The 18,564-nt window shown below is 55.7% G+C and overlaps 1 long non-coding RNA gene across 5 annotated transcripts, besides 1 other annotated feature; it reads right to left on the minus strand.

Annotated features, from left to right (window-relative positions):
- Positions 1-6,899: 6,899 nt before the first annotated feature.
- Positions 6,900-18,547, minus strand: LINC03117 (long intergenic non-protein coding RNA 3117). 5 transcript variants are annotated; one of them, XR_944217.3, is made up of 4 exons: positions 18,487-18,547; positions 13,292-13,844; positions 12,722-12,942; positions 6,900-12,586 (listed from the first exon to the last, which is right to left on the minus strand). It is a non-coding gene; the product is annotated as a long intergenic non-protein coding RNA 3117 (long non-coding RNA). The 5 variants fall into 5 exon arrangements; XR_007064343.1 differs by having other exon boundaries at positions 13,292-17,954; XR_944220.2 differs by having other exon boundaries at positions 13,292-13,567; positions 13,756-18,547.
- Positions 16,494-17,272: an enhancer, noted in NCBI's record as "H3K4me1 hESC enhancer chr14:101940074-101940852 (GRCh37/hg19 assembly coordinates)". NCBI's record gives its function as "activates a minimal SCP1, AML or CMV promoter by ChIP-STARR-seq in naive H9 embryonic stem cells {active_cell/tissue: H9 hESC(naive)}" and the evidence as "EXISTENCE:reporter gene assay evidence [ECO:0000049][PMID:30033119]".

Raw genomic sequence — 18,564 nt, forward strand, 5'->3', positions numbered from 1 at the left:
CGTGTGTGAGGCGGGGGGTTACGGGGGAGGGGAGACGGGGCGGGTGTGAAGTCTGTGCCGGGAAAAGAAAAATATGAGTGTTCTCTTTTGTGTGCGCACAAACAGCCGAGCGCGGGGAGGTCGGGCCCGGGGTCACGCGGCTCCGGGCTGCAGCTGCCGCCGTGGGGCGGGGGGTCCCAGGCGGCCACCGGGCGTCGCGGCCGCCTGCGGCATCAGCATTCCGGCGGCGCGGGCGGCCGCTGTCCTCGCGCGACCCCAGCCCGTCCAGAGCGCGCCCCGGCACCGACCCTCGGGGCGAGGCGAGCGCAGCCCCCGCTGGCCAACAAGGTAAGCGCGGCGCGGGGAGCGGTGGCCGGGAGCCTGGGCGCCAGGCGACCCCTCGACAGGGCGCACGGACCGGTTCTCCGCCGCGCGGGTCGATGACCGACGGGGAGGCCCGAGTCTGGCCCCGACGCCCTGGCCCGGTGTCCCCGACGCGCCTGGAGCCCGGGAGGGAGGCGCGGGCCTGGCCTGGGCCCAGGAGGATGGAGCCCGACTCAGGGCCGTCTCTCCCCGCTTGGGGGTGCTCAGGAGGGCCCAGGGTACCTGCGCGGGCACCTTGGCGGCGGGTCACCCTCCCTCCGAGCCACTCCGTCCGTGGGCAGCGGCCTTACCAGGTCCGAGCCGGACGCTCAGCGTTGCCCTCCGCGAGCCCCCAGCCTCCCCTCGAGCGCCGCGGGAGCCCCAGGTGCACACACGCAGGCCTGGGCCGGGCCTCCAGGCCTCTGTCCTTCGGGCGGGCTGGGAGGTGGCCTGGCGATGCCCGCCGAGGGGTGGAGAGGGCGAAGCCAGGGCGGCGTCGGCGAGGCCATCAAAGGCCGGGGGTGGCGGCCCGCCGCGTTGCCCATGACCAGGCCGAGGGCATGAAAGGATCTTTATCCTCCAGTGACATTGCCAGGCCGGCGCTTTTCTGCGGCCTCCCCCTCCCGCGGCCCTAATTGGGGCCGGCTGCTAATGTGATTAAAGGCCAGTTAAACGTTTCTCCGAGCAGGGGGTGGGAAGAGGCCGAGACCCCTGCCCCCTCCCCAGGGTCACGCCAGGCCCGTGGTCGGGGGTCGGCGACGGTGCCAGCCTGGGACGGCCTGGCCAGGTGCCTGCCGATTGTTCACCCCCAGGCGGGCGGGCCGGCGGGCTCCCGGGGCTTTATGTAAGCCGGTGGGCTTTGGGCCCGACCGGATTTAGGGATTCTTTTCGCACAGTTTCCATTTTCTGGCCTTTGGAACTGCGCCCTAAGCCCTCGGGGCCCTCCCCCTCCGGTGCCCGGCGCTGGCGGGGCCCAGCCACGGGGGCGGGCTGGGGGTGCCAGGCTTTGGGGGTCTGGAGGGCCTGAAGCAGGTCGCGTTGGGGGTCTCACTACCTAAGACAGTGACTCAGGACAGTGGGACCTGGGTGCTGTGCTGCGGCCAGGCAGAGCCTGCGACCCGCGGCGCCCCCCGCGGCCTCGGCGACAGCCCGGTTCCCACGTCGGCGACGGCGTGGGTGGTCCCGCCCGCCCGGGAGGGCTCCGAGTCTTGGCCGCCCGGGGCGCGGGGCCTGAGAGCGAGTGTCTGCGCCGCGCTGCCCGCCGCGCCAGTTTCCGAGGTCGCCCGCGGGCTCATGCCCTGCGCCCTGGGGCCCCGGGGACCTTCTCCAAGCCGGCCTGACCTGGTGGAGGCTGTGCGCTGCGCTCGGGGAAGGCCGGGCTGGTGCCGGGGGCAGCGGGTCCCAGCTCTGAAGTGCCAGCGCCGGCGCCCCACTCCCCGCCTGCTACGGTGCTCTCGCCCGGAAAGGCCCGAGGCCCTGGAAGGAGCCCCGCGGGGGGGCGCCGTCTGGAGCAGCCCTCAGGGGCGCCGGGCTGCCGCGACGCAGTGGCTGTAATTGCTTCGGGGTACCTGGGGATCGATGGCGTGGCCCAGCCGGGTGTCTGCGCCTCTGAGGTTGCAAATCTGGAACCAGTTAGGATGCGGGAGGCAGATAATAAAAAGCCAAATGGGCGCCAGGTGGAGGAGTGAGCTCCGCACGTTCCATCAGGTGGCCCGGGCCGCGCGCTCGGGCGGCGGCAGAGTCTCTGGGGCACTCGGGGCGGGCGGCAGCAGGTGGGACCCGCGGCCCGACCCGCGCTAGGGCCGCCCACCCCCTCGGACCCCGGCCGGGTCTCTCCACAGCCTCCGTGCGCGTCCCAGAAGGAAAATGCTAGCAAACCGGAAGGCCGCACGGGGCCGAGCCGGCCTCAGCCCGGCCAGGAGAGGCCGTCGGTGCCCCGAGGAGGAAGGGGACCCGGCCCGGGACGGCCGCCCCGCGGTACCCAGGAAGGACGCCCGCCGTTCCCAGCACCCCAGCGTCTGAAAAATGAATGTGAACTCCGCAAGCGTGCTCCCGCGGACATTTTACATGTCGGTTGTTCACATTTTAAAAATATTCTCTGAAATAGTCTGCAGAACTTTTTCACATCTAACAAATGTCAGATTGAACAGATCAGAAGATAAGAAATGAACATGACATTTTAATTCAAGTAGAGAGAAAGCAGACGGTATTTTTAAAATAATATTTTTGTAAAAACGTATTGTGGATCTAAGATTTTGTCATGTTCAAAATGTATAATTTTTTGATATTTAAAATACACATTTTGTACATTTTCAACCAAAAAGACAGGGAAAAATTTAAAAAGCAAAAGCTGGAAACCAAGAAAAGCCTGGAGAGAAAATGGGCCGTAAGGAACCAGAGCCCGTCTTTCTCCACACCATTTTTTTTTCCTTCCTAATAGCCAGAAAGAAAAAGAAAAAGAAAAAAAAAAGTGAAAATAAAATAATTTCATATTAAACTAACACAGAGAACTAATTAATTTCTTTCCAGATGGGTTGAAGGGACCTGGCTGTTTTAGTGTGCTCAGAAAATGCTAGACTCAAGTTGGTTTTCTTTCCTTCTGCTGCTCAGAGAATCTTACGAAAAAGTAAACAACCCCAGCCTAACCATTTTTTTATCGGCTTATTGAACACAGATAAAATTAGAATCCTTTTTTATTTGAGATAAAAGACACACAGGAAAAGACTAATTTTTTTTTTAACCAAGGGAATATCTGGGGTTTTTTTGTATGAAACTGTAACATTTAACTAACATGTAATGAGCTGAACGACCTTGGGTTTGTTTCACTCTAGCTCCTCCTGAAATCTTCCATTTTTTTCTGAGATGGCTTTTCCAGTGATCTTGTGTCAGTAAGAGAGGAATATACAGTGCAGCAAATAATTTGTGCATTCGTGGTCAATACATTTCTCAGTCAAAAAATCAAAAACAGGTCAATGGCTGGTTATTAGGAATAACCTTTGAACCGAACAGGAAATGGGGAAAATACCTGTTTGTTGACGCTTGCACGCCCAGGAGGAGAATTGAGGTGCAGTTAGTTTCACTGTGTGAGGGAGAGATGCCGCTCTGTCCAGAGGGTTTATTGGAATGCCAGGCCCCAGGTGTTTGGGTGTGTCTATGCAGACAGTTAGTGCTGACCCCTGAGGATTTTGATGTGTATAATCATGCCATAAGAGGAAGGCAGGTGGGTCAATTGTCAGTGGGAGCACAGGAGATGCTGGGGCATGCCGGAGCCTGGGCAGTTTCTATCCTGATACCTTCCGTGTCCATGTTTTAGTCCCATATTGAGGACATGAAAGGTCCATTTTATGTTTCTCTCCTTTAAAAACTCCCCAGTGGCCTACTCGGCAGCATTGCTGGGGACCCACTGGTCATTTTTCATAAAAATAAGACCACAGTGTGGACCAAAACTTGGGATCTGAGATGTCCTTGAGCTCACCTGTCACATCGAGTCACCACCTGGAGAAGAAAGATTTGCTGACCTCCTACAGAGCCAGGCAATAGGACGTTCAGCCTCAGTCCTGATTACGGGTGGGCAGTTGGGTTTATGTGTGTGTGTTTGGGTTTTTTGTTGCTGTTTTTGTTTTGTTCTGTTTTTCTGGGAAAACAAAGGTCCCTTTGGGGGTACCTGGGCTGGCCGGTACGGCAAACAGGAAAGCCAGCCAGGTCAGGAGGAGACGTGGCTTCACGTTGGAATGCCAGTTTGCTTTGTGATTGTTTATTACAACTGAAGGTTTTGTGTCATCTAGCGTTGCCCAAAGTAGAAGCCCATTCCCAGGATGGATGAATCTGTGGTAAGAGATAAACACAAGAAACAAATGCCCAGGGGAGGAGGAGAAGCAGATTGCCTGGGGCAGGTAAGAGGGCTACACCTGGAAATGCATCTGCTGGGGTTCTCACCCACACCAGAATCTCTGGTCAGAGCAGCTCTCTTTGAAGAATGCCAGACAAACAGAAACCTGGCCACACCCCCACCAGAGTTACCTGATTGAAACACGAATCTGATCACTGAAAGCCTTCCTGCATCCGTCTGCTGCACGCAGGAGGCAGCTCGGCCTCCTTCCCCAGTGGCCTCCCAGCCCTACCTCTAGAATTTCCTGGCCCCTGCCCTCCTGCCACCCTGATATCTCTTACTCCCTAAGACACTTGTCCTTGTCGCCGACACGGGCCCAGCGGTGAGAGAGGCGCTCTCTGCCCATTGCCCGTGAACACACTGCGTTCAGGGCTTCTCAGAGCAGGCCAGCCTGGTGGAGCTGCTTTGGGGCCTAGCTCTGGGGGTCTCAGGAGTACCCCAGCCTGCAGATAAGGAACCCTATGCAATGTATAAGGAAAGGAAAGCATGGCCCATGTGAGCACAGCATTAGGGCCTTGGAACTCCGTGTTTAGCACCCCCCATGCTGCAGCCAAACATTGACACCCCAAGTTCTAGGACCCCATGAGATGGTGCCTTGCCTAGCCAGCTGCGTTGATGTGTGGGAAGGGGCATGTTGCGGAAATCCTCCAGCAGGTCCTGGCTCCTGTCCTGTGCCCAGCACTGGCGTTCTTGTTCAGAGAACAAAGGCCCGGAGGCCCCTGCAGAACCAAGAAAGCCTGAAAGCCGTGGCTTTCAAAGCTTGCTGACCGTGGCTGGGGTAAGAAATACATTGTGCATCTCAGCCCACGGCAAGCCAGACAACTATGTATAAAATAATTAATTAACTATACCTAGATAACCAAAACACAATTTTTGCAAAAGAATGGTTCTCTTACTAGACGTCATGAATGCTGATCTCTGTTCATCCTATTTCTTTTTTCCAAATAATGGCTGCCACCCCTGAAACAATCCCATGATCCTAATGGGCTGCAGCGTGGAGCTTGCAGACCACCCTTTAGAGCTGAGGTTGTGTGGGTTAAGCCTGAGTGGAGGGAGACCCGCAGTTCCTTCCTGCTGCATCTCCTGCCCCCACTTCCAGCCCTGGAGTCAGAACCTCCTGCTGGAATCCTAGCCACCACTTCCTACTATGACATTGAGAGGCCACCTCCCCTCCTGAGCTGGAGCCTCTGCTTCTTCCTCTTAGAATGAGGAGGACAACTCCCTGCTAGGGTCTTAGAGAGGATTCAGCGAGATCATGTACCAGATGAGGTCTTGACTCAATGTGTCTGCCCAGGCTAGCACCTGACAGTCATCTGTCACTTTTGATCCTGTGCCTCCCTGGGGCCCAAGATGTCTTCTCCCCTACCCCCCAGTAGCCCTCCAGTAAAATCCTCCTCCCCCCTTCCAATTCCACTCCAGTCTTCTCCTTGGGCCAGCTCCTCCTCAAGCCCCACTGCAGATTTTGGGACTCACAGATCTGTGCAGCGCGGATTAAGGCCTGCCACCCTGGTGGACTCTCAGGCCTGGGCTCTGCCTGGCTCGCCGGCATTTATAGACACATGTCTGATTGCCAGTTAGCCCCGATCCAACCTCAACAGCACTGTGGACACAGAGGCTGTGCTTCTTCCCATTTGCAGATAAAGTATATGGGGCCCAGGAGGTATCATCATGTGACCGTGAGTCGCACAGTTAGTGGCAGAGCTGGGGTAGGCTAGCTCTCCTGGCCTTCAAAGACCATCATGCTCATGGCCCAGAGTCCTTCCTCCTGGCAGGGCACTAGGGCCCTTTCTGACAGGCTCGCAGCAACCAGATTTGTTCCCTGGCTGCCCACCTCCACGTCCTCCACCCTGGGAGAGCTGAGTTCGTTTTCCTTTGACTGTTTTTTTAATGCTTCCCTCAGGAGGCAGGCCACAGTCTTCCTGCACCACCCTCACGGGCTCTCACTGCTGGAGCAATGATTACTCACAGATTTACCCAAGGAGAGTGTGTACTTGGAATGGCTGTCCGTGTGTTCCCTGTGCACACACACACGCATACCCGCACATACACTGTGGTGACCTGACACACACACTTCCGTGATCTCACACACTCGTGCACACACACACACTGCCCTGATCTCACACAAACACACAAACACTGCCCTGATGTCACACACACACACTACCCTGATCTCACACACTCATGCACACACACACACACTGCCCTGATCTCATACACACACACACACACTCTGCCCTAATCTCACACAAACACTGCCCTTTGCCCTGATCTCTCTCTCTCACATACTGTCCTGATCTCACACACTCATGCACACAAACACACACTGCCCTAACCTCACACACAGACACACACACACTGCCCTGATATCATACACACACACACAGACACACACATACTGCCCTGATATCACACTCATGCACACACACTGCCCTGATCTCACACACTCATGCACACAGACACACTGCCCTGATGTCACACACACACACACACGCACACTGCCCTGATCTCACACATACACATACACACTGCCCTGATCTCTCTCACACACCCACTGCCCTGATGTCACACACACACACACACACACACACTACCCTGATCTCACACAATCATGCACACATACACACACTTCCCTGACCCTATCACTCTGCACATTGGAGCTAAGCTCATGAAGGCTGCTCATGCATTTTATTTGGCAAGTCTCTCTCACATCTTTAATCACACTAGCCTGCCCACTGCCAATCAATAAAGATTAGGAAATCGATTGCTAACTTACTCTTGGGTTAGATAATAAAATTGTTTGAAACATGCACCTGGAGGAATTTATCTGTGAAGAGTCCTTTCAGAGTTTGTTTCAAGCTTTGCAAGTCTCTCATGGCTCTGAGGTCGGGGAGGCTGTGAGGGATCCTCCACGCCCAGCAGACGTGGAAGGAGCCGACGTTCTTACGGGAGATGGACAGACGGTCAGCATGTGAATAGTCCCCTGCATGCAGGTGAGGACTGGGGCAGTGCAGAGCCGCAGCAGGGATGGGCTATGCCTGGGAGCCGCCAGCTCTGGATCAGGTGGCCAGGGACGGTCATGCTGAAGAGGAAGGCTCCAGTGAAGCTCTGGAAGAATGTTCTGGTGCCTGTATGTACAAAGGCCCCCCTAATTCAGGACCTGGCCCTGTACAGATGAGGAGCAGGAAGGAGCCAGTGTAACTGAGGCCAGTGTGGCTGCAGCAAGGGGCTGGAGGCGTGAGAAGAAACAGAAAAGAACGGAGGGCCATTTCTGCCTCCCCAGTCCGGATCATCCTCCTCCTCCACCCCAGAGCCCCAGGGTGCTGAGCCTTGCGCCCCTGCCCCTCAAGGCTATGGAATGTCATTGCCACTCAGCGTGAAGGTTCTGGAGGGGACCTCAAACACCAGGCCCCTCTGCCCAGAGAGCCCCAGTGGACCCGCTGAGCCAGGGACCTGCTCCTTGGAGCCAACCACCTTGTGACTTGTGAATTGTGTTGAGTCCCGTTTCCTTTTTCCCTTTTGTTTATTGCTTTGTGTATCTGGCAGCTTTATCCCAAAGCTGCTCTCACGTGGTCCCTCTGTCCCATCCTGCCATTTTCCTCCCTCTGGGGCCCCTTGCATGGGAGACTGGGAGCAGCGTCCACCCGCCACCCAGCAGAGGCTCAGGTCCTGGAGTTAAAAGAGAAGCACAGGCAGGGGACGCTCTCCAAACTGCCTTCAGCCCGCATCTTTGAACTCTGCAGTAGGAAGACTCCTGGGCCCCCATGTCCCCATGCATATGCACCTGCATGCATGTGACACACTTCTCGGCCCATGGAGAAGACTGTCCGCACGGGGGTGTGAGCTGCCCAGCACCCACTGATCAATTGCTGCATTCCCAGCTGCCTTTAAGCTGGCATGGGGCGCCCTCTGAGGCACGCCCAGCCCCTGGGGCCTAGACTCTGGTGTTCTCTAGGAACTGTCTATCTCTGTGTGTGGGAGCCACAGACTTGGGCTTTCAGACCCCCACAATGGATGGCTCAGGCCTATGGCTCACCCCCAGCATCTGTGACCACCACCACTGCCCACCTTCTTTGCCTAAGCATTACTTCTGGGGGGCAGTTCTTCACTTATGTGTGCAAGCCAGCCTTCTAGAAAACTCTTTGCTCTCATGACCAGGCAGGCCTTGCACAGTCCAGATGGTGAAGCCCAGTTCCTACCTTCCAGTGAGGAGCACCTGACCCTTCAGGGGCGATAGACGGGGCCCTGCACAGATGGGACAGGACAGGTGGGGTGCACAGAGGATGGCAGGTGCCCTCTGAGAGGCAGGGTCGGGGCAGGTCGGGCAGGAGCCTGGCATCTGTGGCTGACTGTTTGGCCCCTCAAGGCCTGTTTTGCTCACAGTTTTGCTTCCTCCTTGCTCTCTGTTTTCCCTGCCACCTGAACTTGGTTGCATGCTGCTTTCTGTCCATTGCCCTCAGCCTCTCACCTCAGTCATGACCCTTAAGCCAGCACCTCCCCCATGCGTCTTACTCTGAGGTTTCCCAGGAGCATGAGCCTCCTCCAGTGTCATTGCGGCTGCTTTGATCTCCTTAATGGTTTTGCTTGAGTGTGGATTCATATTCAGACTCTTTTAGGGACACAAAGACCCCCAAAGTGGATGAATGCCCTATGGAGGCAGATGCCCAGTTGGGGGCCCGAGGTCTGGCTGGCCTGTCCTCCCTGCCCAGGGTTTGCTGAACACCCCAGCCACATGCTCCAGGCACACACCGAAGCTTCAGCTCAAGATTCACCTCGGAGGAGGGCATCTAGTCCAAGCCACTTCGTCTAAGAGGCGACCAAGGTGGCCAGGACTTACTTGCCATGAGACCTTGGCAAGTGGACAAGTGCTGAGAGTGGTGGGAGGTGACAGGCTTCTCTACCAGCACTGGCAAGCACTTAATCCAAGCCCCGAGGCTCCAGCTGCAAACTGGGACGGGAATCTGATGACACCCACCCTAGAGGGATGGGGGTAAATGTAGACGACATAATTTCCATATGTCTGCATTGAGCGTTCACATACATGAGCGTCCTCAGAAGCATTATCTCCTCATGCTTCTCCAAGGAATGTGCCCTTTTCTTAACCCTGGTTGACTGAGTCCTACCGAGGAAGGAAGGGTTTCAGGCCACACCCCAGGGATAGCGCTGGATGCCCCCAGCCAGGCCAAGGTGGTCAGATTTCCTTGCAAGAGTTTGAGCAAAGACACAGAGATTGAATTAGACTGAGCTGGGCCTGGAGGCTTGAGGTCCTGTCGACGAGGAGAGCGATATCTCAGTGTATGAATCTGTGGGTTTTCTGTGTGCCCTTGCAGTCCTGGGGACCCTCATGGCCCTTGGTGAGCCCACATTGAAGGAGAAGAACCAAGAGGCGGCAGAGAATCTAGATTCAGGCTGCAGAAAGTCTTGCTACTGCAGAGGTGAGACGAGGCCAGGGCAGGAAGGGAGCAGGGGTGGGGTGCAGGACCCTGAGTCCCCTAGAGGCCACGGTAGGACATCAGCAGCACCAGGGGGAGTCACCAAAGCTAAGTGCCAAGATGCGGTCGACTGAGGACCTGCTCCTGGTGCCCGCCCCTTCAGCCCAGAGACGGTGTGTGGTCCGTCTCCACCCAGCACAACCGTCCTAAATACCTGAATGAGTTTCCTTGAGCTCCTGCAGCAGAGACCCATAAAATGCTTAAAGGAGCAGAAATCTACTCCCTTGCTGATCTGGAGCCCAGAAGTCTAAAGTCAAGGTGTCGACAGTGTCGTGCTCCCTCTGAAGGTTCCTGGGGGTGCCCTTCCTCACCTCCTCAGCTCCTGGTGGCCCTGGACATCCGATGGCTTGCGGCTGCATCATCCACTCTCTGCCTTTGTCTTTCCGTGGCTGCCCTCCCTCTGCATCTGTCTCTGTGTCCACTCCTCTTTTTATAAGATCGCCAGTCCTTGGGTCTAGGCCTTGGGTCTAGGGCCCACCCTAATGCAGCGTGACTTCATCTTAACTAATTACATCTGCAAAGACCCTGTCTCCAAATAAGGTCATATTTTGAGCTTCTGAGTGGAAGTGGATTTGGGGGACAGTCATCAACCCAGCACAATGCCCCTCCTCCCCATGCTCTCTAAAGAGAGAAGGATCTTGGACATCTTGATTGGACACGATGACACGAAGACAAAAGTTTCTGACTAGCTAGGCCAAGGGTGGACACATTGTCCCTGGAGTGACAAGTCGGGCCAGTGATCTTGTAGGGACAAGCCTACATCCAGAGCAGTGCTGGTATAGGGGCAAGCCAACATCCGTGGCAGTGCTGGTATAGGGGCAAGCCAACATCCATGGCAGTGCTGGTATAGGGGCAAGCCAACATCCGGGGAAAACCAAAGGCCTGTAGGAAAAGCCTATGGGGAGGATGGAGAGAAGAGGGATGGAGCCCTGGATGTAACGGGGACCTGCATCCTGTATCCCTGTCCCTATGATGCTGTGATGGTGCCTGACTTTCTGTAGACCAAAGCTCTCCTTTTTTTTTTTTTTTTTGAGACAGAGTTTTGCTCTTGTTGCCCATGCTGGAGTACAATGGTGTGATCTCAGCTCACTGCAACCTCCGCCTCCGGGTACAAGCAATTCCCCTGTCTCAGCCTCCCAAGTAGCTCAGATAACAGTCATGCACCACCACTCCTGGCTAATTTTTTTGTATTTAATAGAGACGGAGTTTCACCATGTTAATCAGGCTGGTCAAGAACTTTTGACCTCAAGTGATCCACATGCCTTGGCCTCCCAAAGTGCTGGGATTACAGGTGTGTGCCAACACACCGGGCCCCAAAGCCCTCCTTTTACTGGAGCTATTTTGCACGGGATCAATAGGCTTCTGCAGTGGTGCTGGCCATCCTAGCATCCCTGGCTTTCCTTCCCTGCTGTGGTCTATATAGTTTGGGTGGAGCTGAACCCATAGAGTTGCCGGCTGCACATGGGACCAGTGCCCTCCCTTTGGACGCTGCAATCAGCTTGGGAGTTTACTCACAGCTGAATTTGAGCAACATGAGGAGGGGAGATTCATAAACTGGTAGAATGAACCATAGAGCTGACAGTCACCTGGCCACTTTGAGGAGAAGGCCTGCTGGAGAACGAAGACCTGGAGGAAGCTGAACTCAGACAGATGGACAGACAGACTTGGTGACGTCATTGGAGGCACCAGGTCCAGCTGAACCTTGAACTCTGTCATCACAGGAACCAGTAAATTCACCTTTAAGCCCAAGTTGAGTTTCTGTCACTCACCCCCTAAAAAAGTGCTGATGGGAGGGTGTCTGGGTAACAACTGCATGCCAGTTGACCACATCCATGCCGCTGCCAGCCCCGGATCTGGGGTAGAGTCTAGCCGCCTGAGGGCATCAAGTTTGTGGCCCATGAGGGTCGTAGCCATGCTACAGGGCAGAGGACAAGAACCGGGTCCCCATGAGACCAAAAGGAGACAATAGGTGGAAAGGATGGCCTGCACTGAAGCCGGGGCCACCAGGCTTGTCGCCCCTCACTCTGTGGACAGACTGGGTTGCACCATTTCTGAGGGAATCTCCATGACTCAGTCCTGGGCATTGCGGCTGGGGCCAGTACTCAAAATGGCAGCAGACGCAGTCGGCCTGCCAGCCCCTGCTAGCTCTTGTTTCAGGTCAGAGGAAGAAAGTACTGGTGGCCTCTGGGGATCCAGAAAGGACTGGTGGCCTCCAGGTGTCCAAGAGTCTTCTCTTCAACGAACATGGTGAGGGGGAGCATTGTGCTGGGTTGATGAGTGTCCCCCAAACCAACTTCCACTCAGAAGCCCAAAATATGACCTTGTTTGGAGACAGGGTCTTTGCACACGTAACTAGTTAAGATGAAGCCATGCTGCATTAGGCCAGGGCCCTGTGTCCAGGGCCTTCCCTGTGAGGTGGCCGCCAGGAGGCCGACCTCAGGGACACAAGGACTGGAATGTGGGGGTCTTTGGAGAGGCATGACGCCCCCTCTGTGAGTGGACAGACATCAAGAATGAAGGGAGCCCTCAACGGGGATGGAGCAGCCCCTGAGACCTGAGGGTCCCACCCTGGGACAAAGGTGCCCTGAGCTCAAGCCAGGACACCCAGCAGCTGCCGGCCAGGCTGTGCTTCCCCCACAGCCTCTCCACACCCTCGCTGTGTCTTCTGTAAGATGAGGTCCCCTCCATTACCCTGGGCCAGGGATCTCAAAACGGAAGGCCGCCAACCAGTCAGCGGCCAGGGGCTGGAGCCCATGGTTTCCCATGGCTCCCACTAGGACACTTGCCAGAGAGGGGGTGGGTGAGCTGGTTCCCATGGAGACAGGCTCAGGATCCCCAGAGGCCACCAGTCCTTTCTTCGTCTGACCTGAAGCAAGAGCAAGGCCAGGGGCTTACAGGCTGACCGTGTCTGCCTCCGTCTCAAGGGCTTAGACTGAGTGAGACTGGCAGAGGCCCTCCAGGTCACTCCCATTGTTTCACAGATGAGGAAACCGAGGCCTACCGGGAGGGAGGGCCTTCCGACAAGTCACGGAACTGATCGGGGGAGAGCTGGATGCCTGCTACACCGTGGCTCTGCTGTCTCCCGTGGAAACCCGGGCCTCTGTTCGAGCCTGAAGTGGCCTCTCTGCACCAGGCTGCTGGGAGACCTGCAGTCACCAATGGCAACGTCACTCTTGCAACAGCCAGTGGGGTGTGGGGCAGCAGACGAAGCTCGAGTACCGCCTGGGTTCCAAGACAGAATGAGACAAAGTGAGGGGTCATATGGGTGCCTGGCCTCCCAGGCAGATGTTTCTGTTACCAGGTGGTCTTTGAATTCTGTCCTGGACTAAATATAGTTCCTTGGGCATTTTTGATCTTGGTAATCATGCAACCATGGTACAGAAATAATTGGTCCGCTCTCATCTTTTCCAGATTACAGTTCGGGGCAGCTGAGTAGGCCCTGGGTAGAGGGCACAGAGGTATGGCTCGGGTGCAGGCGGGACCCTGGGTGACACCCACGCAGGGTAGAGCCCCTCCCCCGGCCTCGGTCTCCCCACCTGTGTAACGAGGAAGTGGACTGGACATGACTCACGGTTCTTCCATGTCCAGCATTCTGCTTTCAGCATCACGGGAACGAGAGGTGATTTCCGTAAGCAGGCTCCAAGGTGCCACCACCAAGCCCAGAAGTATCTTTCCCACTTTGCAGATTTCCTACAGACCCAGTATTCTCTCTTCCATGGGTTGAGTTTCTAAAATCACATGACTGTATTTTTCTTTTAATACAGAAAAGCATAATAAAGGCATAAAAGCCCATGCCCCTCTGCAGAGCACCCTGTTGACATTTTCTGAAAGTAAGTCATCTATGCACCTGGGAAGAAAGCACAGAGGACTCAGAAAGGCCAAAAACAAAAACAAAAAAGCCCCACCTCAGCCCCTGCCCCTCTCCCGGAGAAGCCGGAGTTGTCAGCCCATGCAGCAGAGTTGGTCAGGAGCTCAAGTTCACATCCCCCAACCGCCACATACTACCTGTATCACCTGGGCAGGTTCTCCCAATACCTCAGTGTCTTCATCTGCAACGTGGGTAAGATGGGAATGCCCACCTCCTGGGGAACTCAGGACTCGCTGAGTTAACTGCATTCAGGGACCTGAAAGAGACTCGCCAGGCAGTAACCCCAGTCCACTTGTTCCATGCTGGTGTGAGCAGTGACTGCATATTCTTCCAAAAGCATCTACCCCATCTATTTTTTTTTTTTTTTTTTGAGACAGGGTCTCCCTCTGTCACCCAGGCTGGAGTGCAGTGGCATGATCTCAGCTCACTGCAACCTCCACCTCCCGGGTTCAAGCGATTCTCCCGCCTCAGCCTCCTGAGTAGCTGGGATTACAGGCGTGCACCACCATGCCCAGCTAATTTTTGTATTTTTAGTAAAGACAGGGTTTCACCATATTGCTCAGGCTGGTCTGGAACTCCCAACCTCAGGTGATCTGCCCACCTCAGCCTCCCAAGGTGCTGGGATTACAGGCGTGAGCCACCGCGCTGCCTATACTATCTATTTGTTAAGCCCCAAATGGATCATACTTTGGTTCAGCCTCTTGCGTTCTTTGCCTTGTTTATTTTAGAGACCTGTCTATCTCAATCCATGCAGATAAATGCCTTGCTCTTTCTTAGGTGCCACCAAGCATAGACACAGACCTCCCCAATGCCCCATCTTTCGCCATTAATCAACAGTGTTGGGATGGTAGGACACCAGGAGTTAGACACCTCAAAGCACCGGTTCTGGCCACACTGGTTATGCATATTGTACTCGACTGATTCACACTCTCATGGCCCTGGATGAGTGTCTCTGGCCATCCCGCAGGCTGGGTGCTTCCCAGTCTGAGCGTGGTGGCCTGTTCTTCTCATGGCTATTACCCCGGGCCTCTGTGGGTCCACCAGCCAGAGTTCTGATGCCCGGCGCGCTCACAGGAGCCTGACTTGGGGACAGCTTTATGAGGCAGTGCAGGGACCTTGAGGCCATAGTGGTGCAGCAGAGAGGTGGGGATGAGGAGGGGCCGCCAGGGCCCAGGGCAGCTCCTGGACTCACTGGGAGAGCCGAAGTCCACAGGCAGCTCCTCACGCCTTGTCAGGCCTGCCCTGCACTCAGCTCCCAGATTTTATAGAAGGAAGTCCCTGCCTTTAGGCCCAGTCAAAAAAAATTGGACTGGGATATTAACAACCAACTTTCCCTGGTGCTTTCCTGAGTCAACCTCTGCAGCCGGGGCTGGCTCAGATGCCTGCCTTGGGGCCCTCTGGGGCAGCGTGTGGAGTCAGGGCCATCTGTGATCTCCTCAGCAGGTTCCATCCTGACCCTGGAGAGCCAGCTGACTTGTGGAAACAGCAGGATGCCATTCTGAGCCAAGCCCAGTGGGTAGGTACACAGGGCCAACCCAGGTCACCCATCAAGTGACCACAGAGCAATGACACCCATCTGCCCCATACTGTCACTCGCTTAGAGAAAGTTCCAGAAGAGGGGCTCCAAGCATGTGTCCCGTGATAAAGAGGCGGCCTCTGCGAGGGTTAATTTCAGTGTCAACTTGGCGGGGCCACAGCGCCCAGATATTTGACCAGACATCACTCTGGGTGTTTCTGTGAGGGGCTTGGGGATGAGACTCACATTGGAATCAGTGGGCCAGGTAAAGCAGTTTCCCCTCCCTAATATGGGTGGGCCTCATCCAATCAGTTGACAGCCTGAATAGGACAAAGGGGGTCCCGTCCCCTGAGTAAGATAGAATTCCTCTTGCCTGCCAGCCTTTGAGCTGAATGTCTAGCTTTTTCCTGCCTTTGGACTTGAACTGAAACGTCCGCTCTGTCTAAGCTCGGGCTGCTGTAGACTGTGTGGCTTAAGCATCAAATATTCATTTCCCACCATTCAGGAGGCTGGAAGTCCAGCACCACGGTGCTGCCAATTTGATTTTGGTGAGGGCCCACTTACTGCTGGCCTTCCTCTCTCTACGTCCTAATGTGACAGAGATCAGAGAGAGAGAGCTGCCCTGTCTCTTCTTATAAGGGCACTAATTTCGTTCATTAGCGCTCCACCCTCCTGACCTAATCACCTTCAAAACACCCCACCTCCTAAGACCATCACATTGGAGGTTGGGGTCCACCATATGAATTTTGGGGGGACATGTCTAGTCCCTAGTAGCCTCTTCTGGGTCTCCAGCTTGCTGACTGAAAATCTTGGGACTTATCAATTCAGTTATTCCAGGAGCCAGTTCTTTACAATAAATCCCTGTTTGTGTGTGTGTGTGTGTGCGTGTGTATGTGTGTGTGTGTGCATGTGTATGTGTGTGCATGTGTGTACATTCTGTTGGTTCTGTTTCTCTGGAGAACCTTGACTAATAACATTCTCCAAGGTGACAAGGAGACTGACAGGGGGAGAGTGAAGTTTAACACATCGGTTAAAATAGTCACAAGATTCTCATCAACTGCCACAAATGGCATCTGGCCACAGCCACTGAGCTTGGCCACTTCTCCGGCTTTGCAAACGCCGCTGGATGCGCCCGGCCTGCTGTCCCACAGTCCCACCCTGCCTTCTCCTACGTGTCCTTTCTGAACTGCCTTCCAAGCTCCTCCCAACCCCGTAGGGTCCACCTCATTGTGCCTCCTTTGTCTCCTCCTCCGCAGCTCCCCTCCCAACACTGGGTTCCTAGCTCCTAGAGGTCAGAGGTCACACTTTTCCCTCTCTCTGTCTCGGTAGGTGAAAGCAGTAAGTGGCACCTAACGGGAAGTGATGGGGTTGGTGGGGAAGAGAACAAAGTGTGGATCAGTCCTGAGGAGGCTGTGCAAAGACCCAGTGCTGGGTCCAAGGCCCAACCCCAAGAACCAGGATCTTGTGCCTCAGTTTCCTAACTGTAAAAGGGGATGTTGGAATCACGTGTGTCAAAGATCCCTTCCAATTCTGTTCTTTGTGGGTTTTCTCATGTCTAGAGCTGGAAGAGGGCAAGCAGAGAACGCCCCCGCCTCCAGGCCCCGAGCACTGTGAGCTGTCTGCCTGCACAGGGCTGCCTGACCCCACCCTCCTGACCACGTCCCCACTCCTGGGGACGGTTCCCGGCCTCCACGGCATCCCGGGGAAGGCAACAGAGATGGACTGGAGGGCACGGGAGGACACGCATTCACTGACCGTCCAGCCCAGCAAAGCAAGAAACCGTCAAAAACTAAAAATTCCATTTGTAAACAAGATCGAATTATTTGATTGTGAAACCAGGGTCCATGGAATTTAAAATAATTTAATATGAAACAATATCATTTGAAATGCTGGCCAGCCAAGGACCTGGACGGGGAGGGGGACTCTGTCCTCCTGTGCCCAGCCACGTGGAAACCCAGCCTCAGAGAATAATAACAAATCATTCTACAGCAAGTGTGGCTGAGATTCAGCTACGTGGCAGCCCCAGGCCAGGCCCGGGGGGCAGCCGGCGAAGACTCCTCGTCCTCTCAGAGTTTACGGTCTAACTGAGCAGACCAGGGTTGGACAATTAAATAACGATGCCAGAAAGCAGGAGAGGAGTGAGTGGGTGGCACTCAAGCCAAAAGGGAGGCCTGATAGAGCCAAGGGGAGTGTGCTGTGGGCCATGGCACTGCCAGAGGAGGCTCTTGGGTGCTCTGGCACCGCAGTGAGCAGCTGGGGGCTTGGTAAGTAGGGAAAGCCAGCACTCAGAGGAGAAGGTGGCAGAAAAAGAAATATTCAGAATAGGAAGCGTGATCATTTGCAACCCCAGCTTTGTCTTGTACTGCCCATGCCAACTTGGGCAAGCACGTTATCCCAAGCCTCAGTCTTCTCATCTACAGAATGGGAACAATCCCAGTCCCTACTTCCTGGCTGTTGTGAGGGTCGGAAATCATTCACGTGCAGCCCTCTGGGAGCCCGTGTCCCTGACAGACAGTGGTGCTCCAGGTGGAGCACGAGGCACCGCTGGCGCTGTAAGCAGATGCCTGTGGAGGGAGGGGAGGAGCAGGTTTCCTAGAGGCCTGGGAGGGGCTGATGCCTCTGCAGTGGGCTCTGCACTCAGCTGCCTTGAAATCCCAGCAACAGTGCCTGCCTGGAGTGACGGGAGCAGGCTCTTTGGGGACCGGGGGGTCAGGAGGGCACATGCACGTGCCTTGCAGCTGGTGCCTCTTGGAAGGATGGGGAGGCGGGGACCCGGCAGACCCTGGTGCACCGACACTCCACAGCCATGTCTTCTGCCTCAACATAAACACGATTGGGAATAGTTCAGGACTGTAAGAGCAAGAAAAACAAACCCAGGGAAACCAAAGAGCGCGCAAATGCTAACTTTCATGTCACATCCAGAAACCACATGTTCATCAAGCCACCTGCGGGCTTGTAACTCAGTGGGGAGACACAGGGTTGTTGTCCTTAGAAAAATCAAGCTATCCTTACAGCTGCAAGGGGAAAAGTCCAGTTGCTGCCTCCCCTCCATCATCCTGGACCAGGTCCCCCCACAGAACAGCCCTTTGAGGCAGCCAGGGAGCTTCCCGTCGCTGTGGCCACCTGGGGCATGGCCCCTAAACCTTTCCGTGCACAGGGGGTTGGGGAAAAGCCCCGGACCTCCAGGCTGATGAGTGGCAGGCCCAGAACCCCCATCAGGGTGCCCAGCTCCCCAGTCTCCCTGTCTCACCACCACCCCAACCTGGGCTCAGCCGCCCCCGTTCAGGGCAGGCAGGACTTGTCCTGGCCTCGGGGAGGGGCCGGGGAAGAGGAGAGAAGACCCCAGTGGGGCCCCCCAGGCCCGCACATGCCGCCCGACTACCTGTGGGCTTGGGGAGGGCTCCAGATCACTCCTGCCCTCAGAGACGGCGATGCTGAGAAGTGTTATTTTTATTCCTCC

Source organism: Homo sapiens, chromosome 14 (assembly GCF_000001405.40).
Source record: "Homo sapiens chromosome 14, GRCh38.p14 Primary Assembly".
Lineage (NCBI taxonomy): Eukaryota > Metazoa > Chordata > Mammalia > Primates > Hominidae > Homo > Homo sapiens.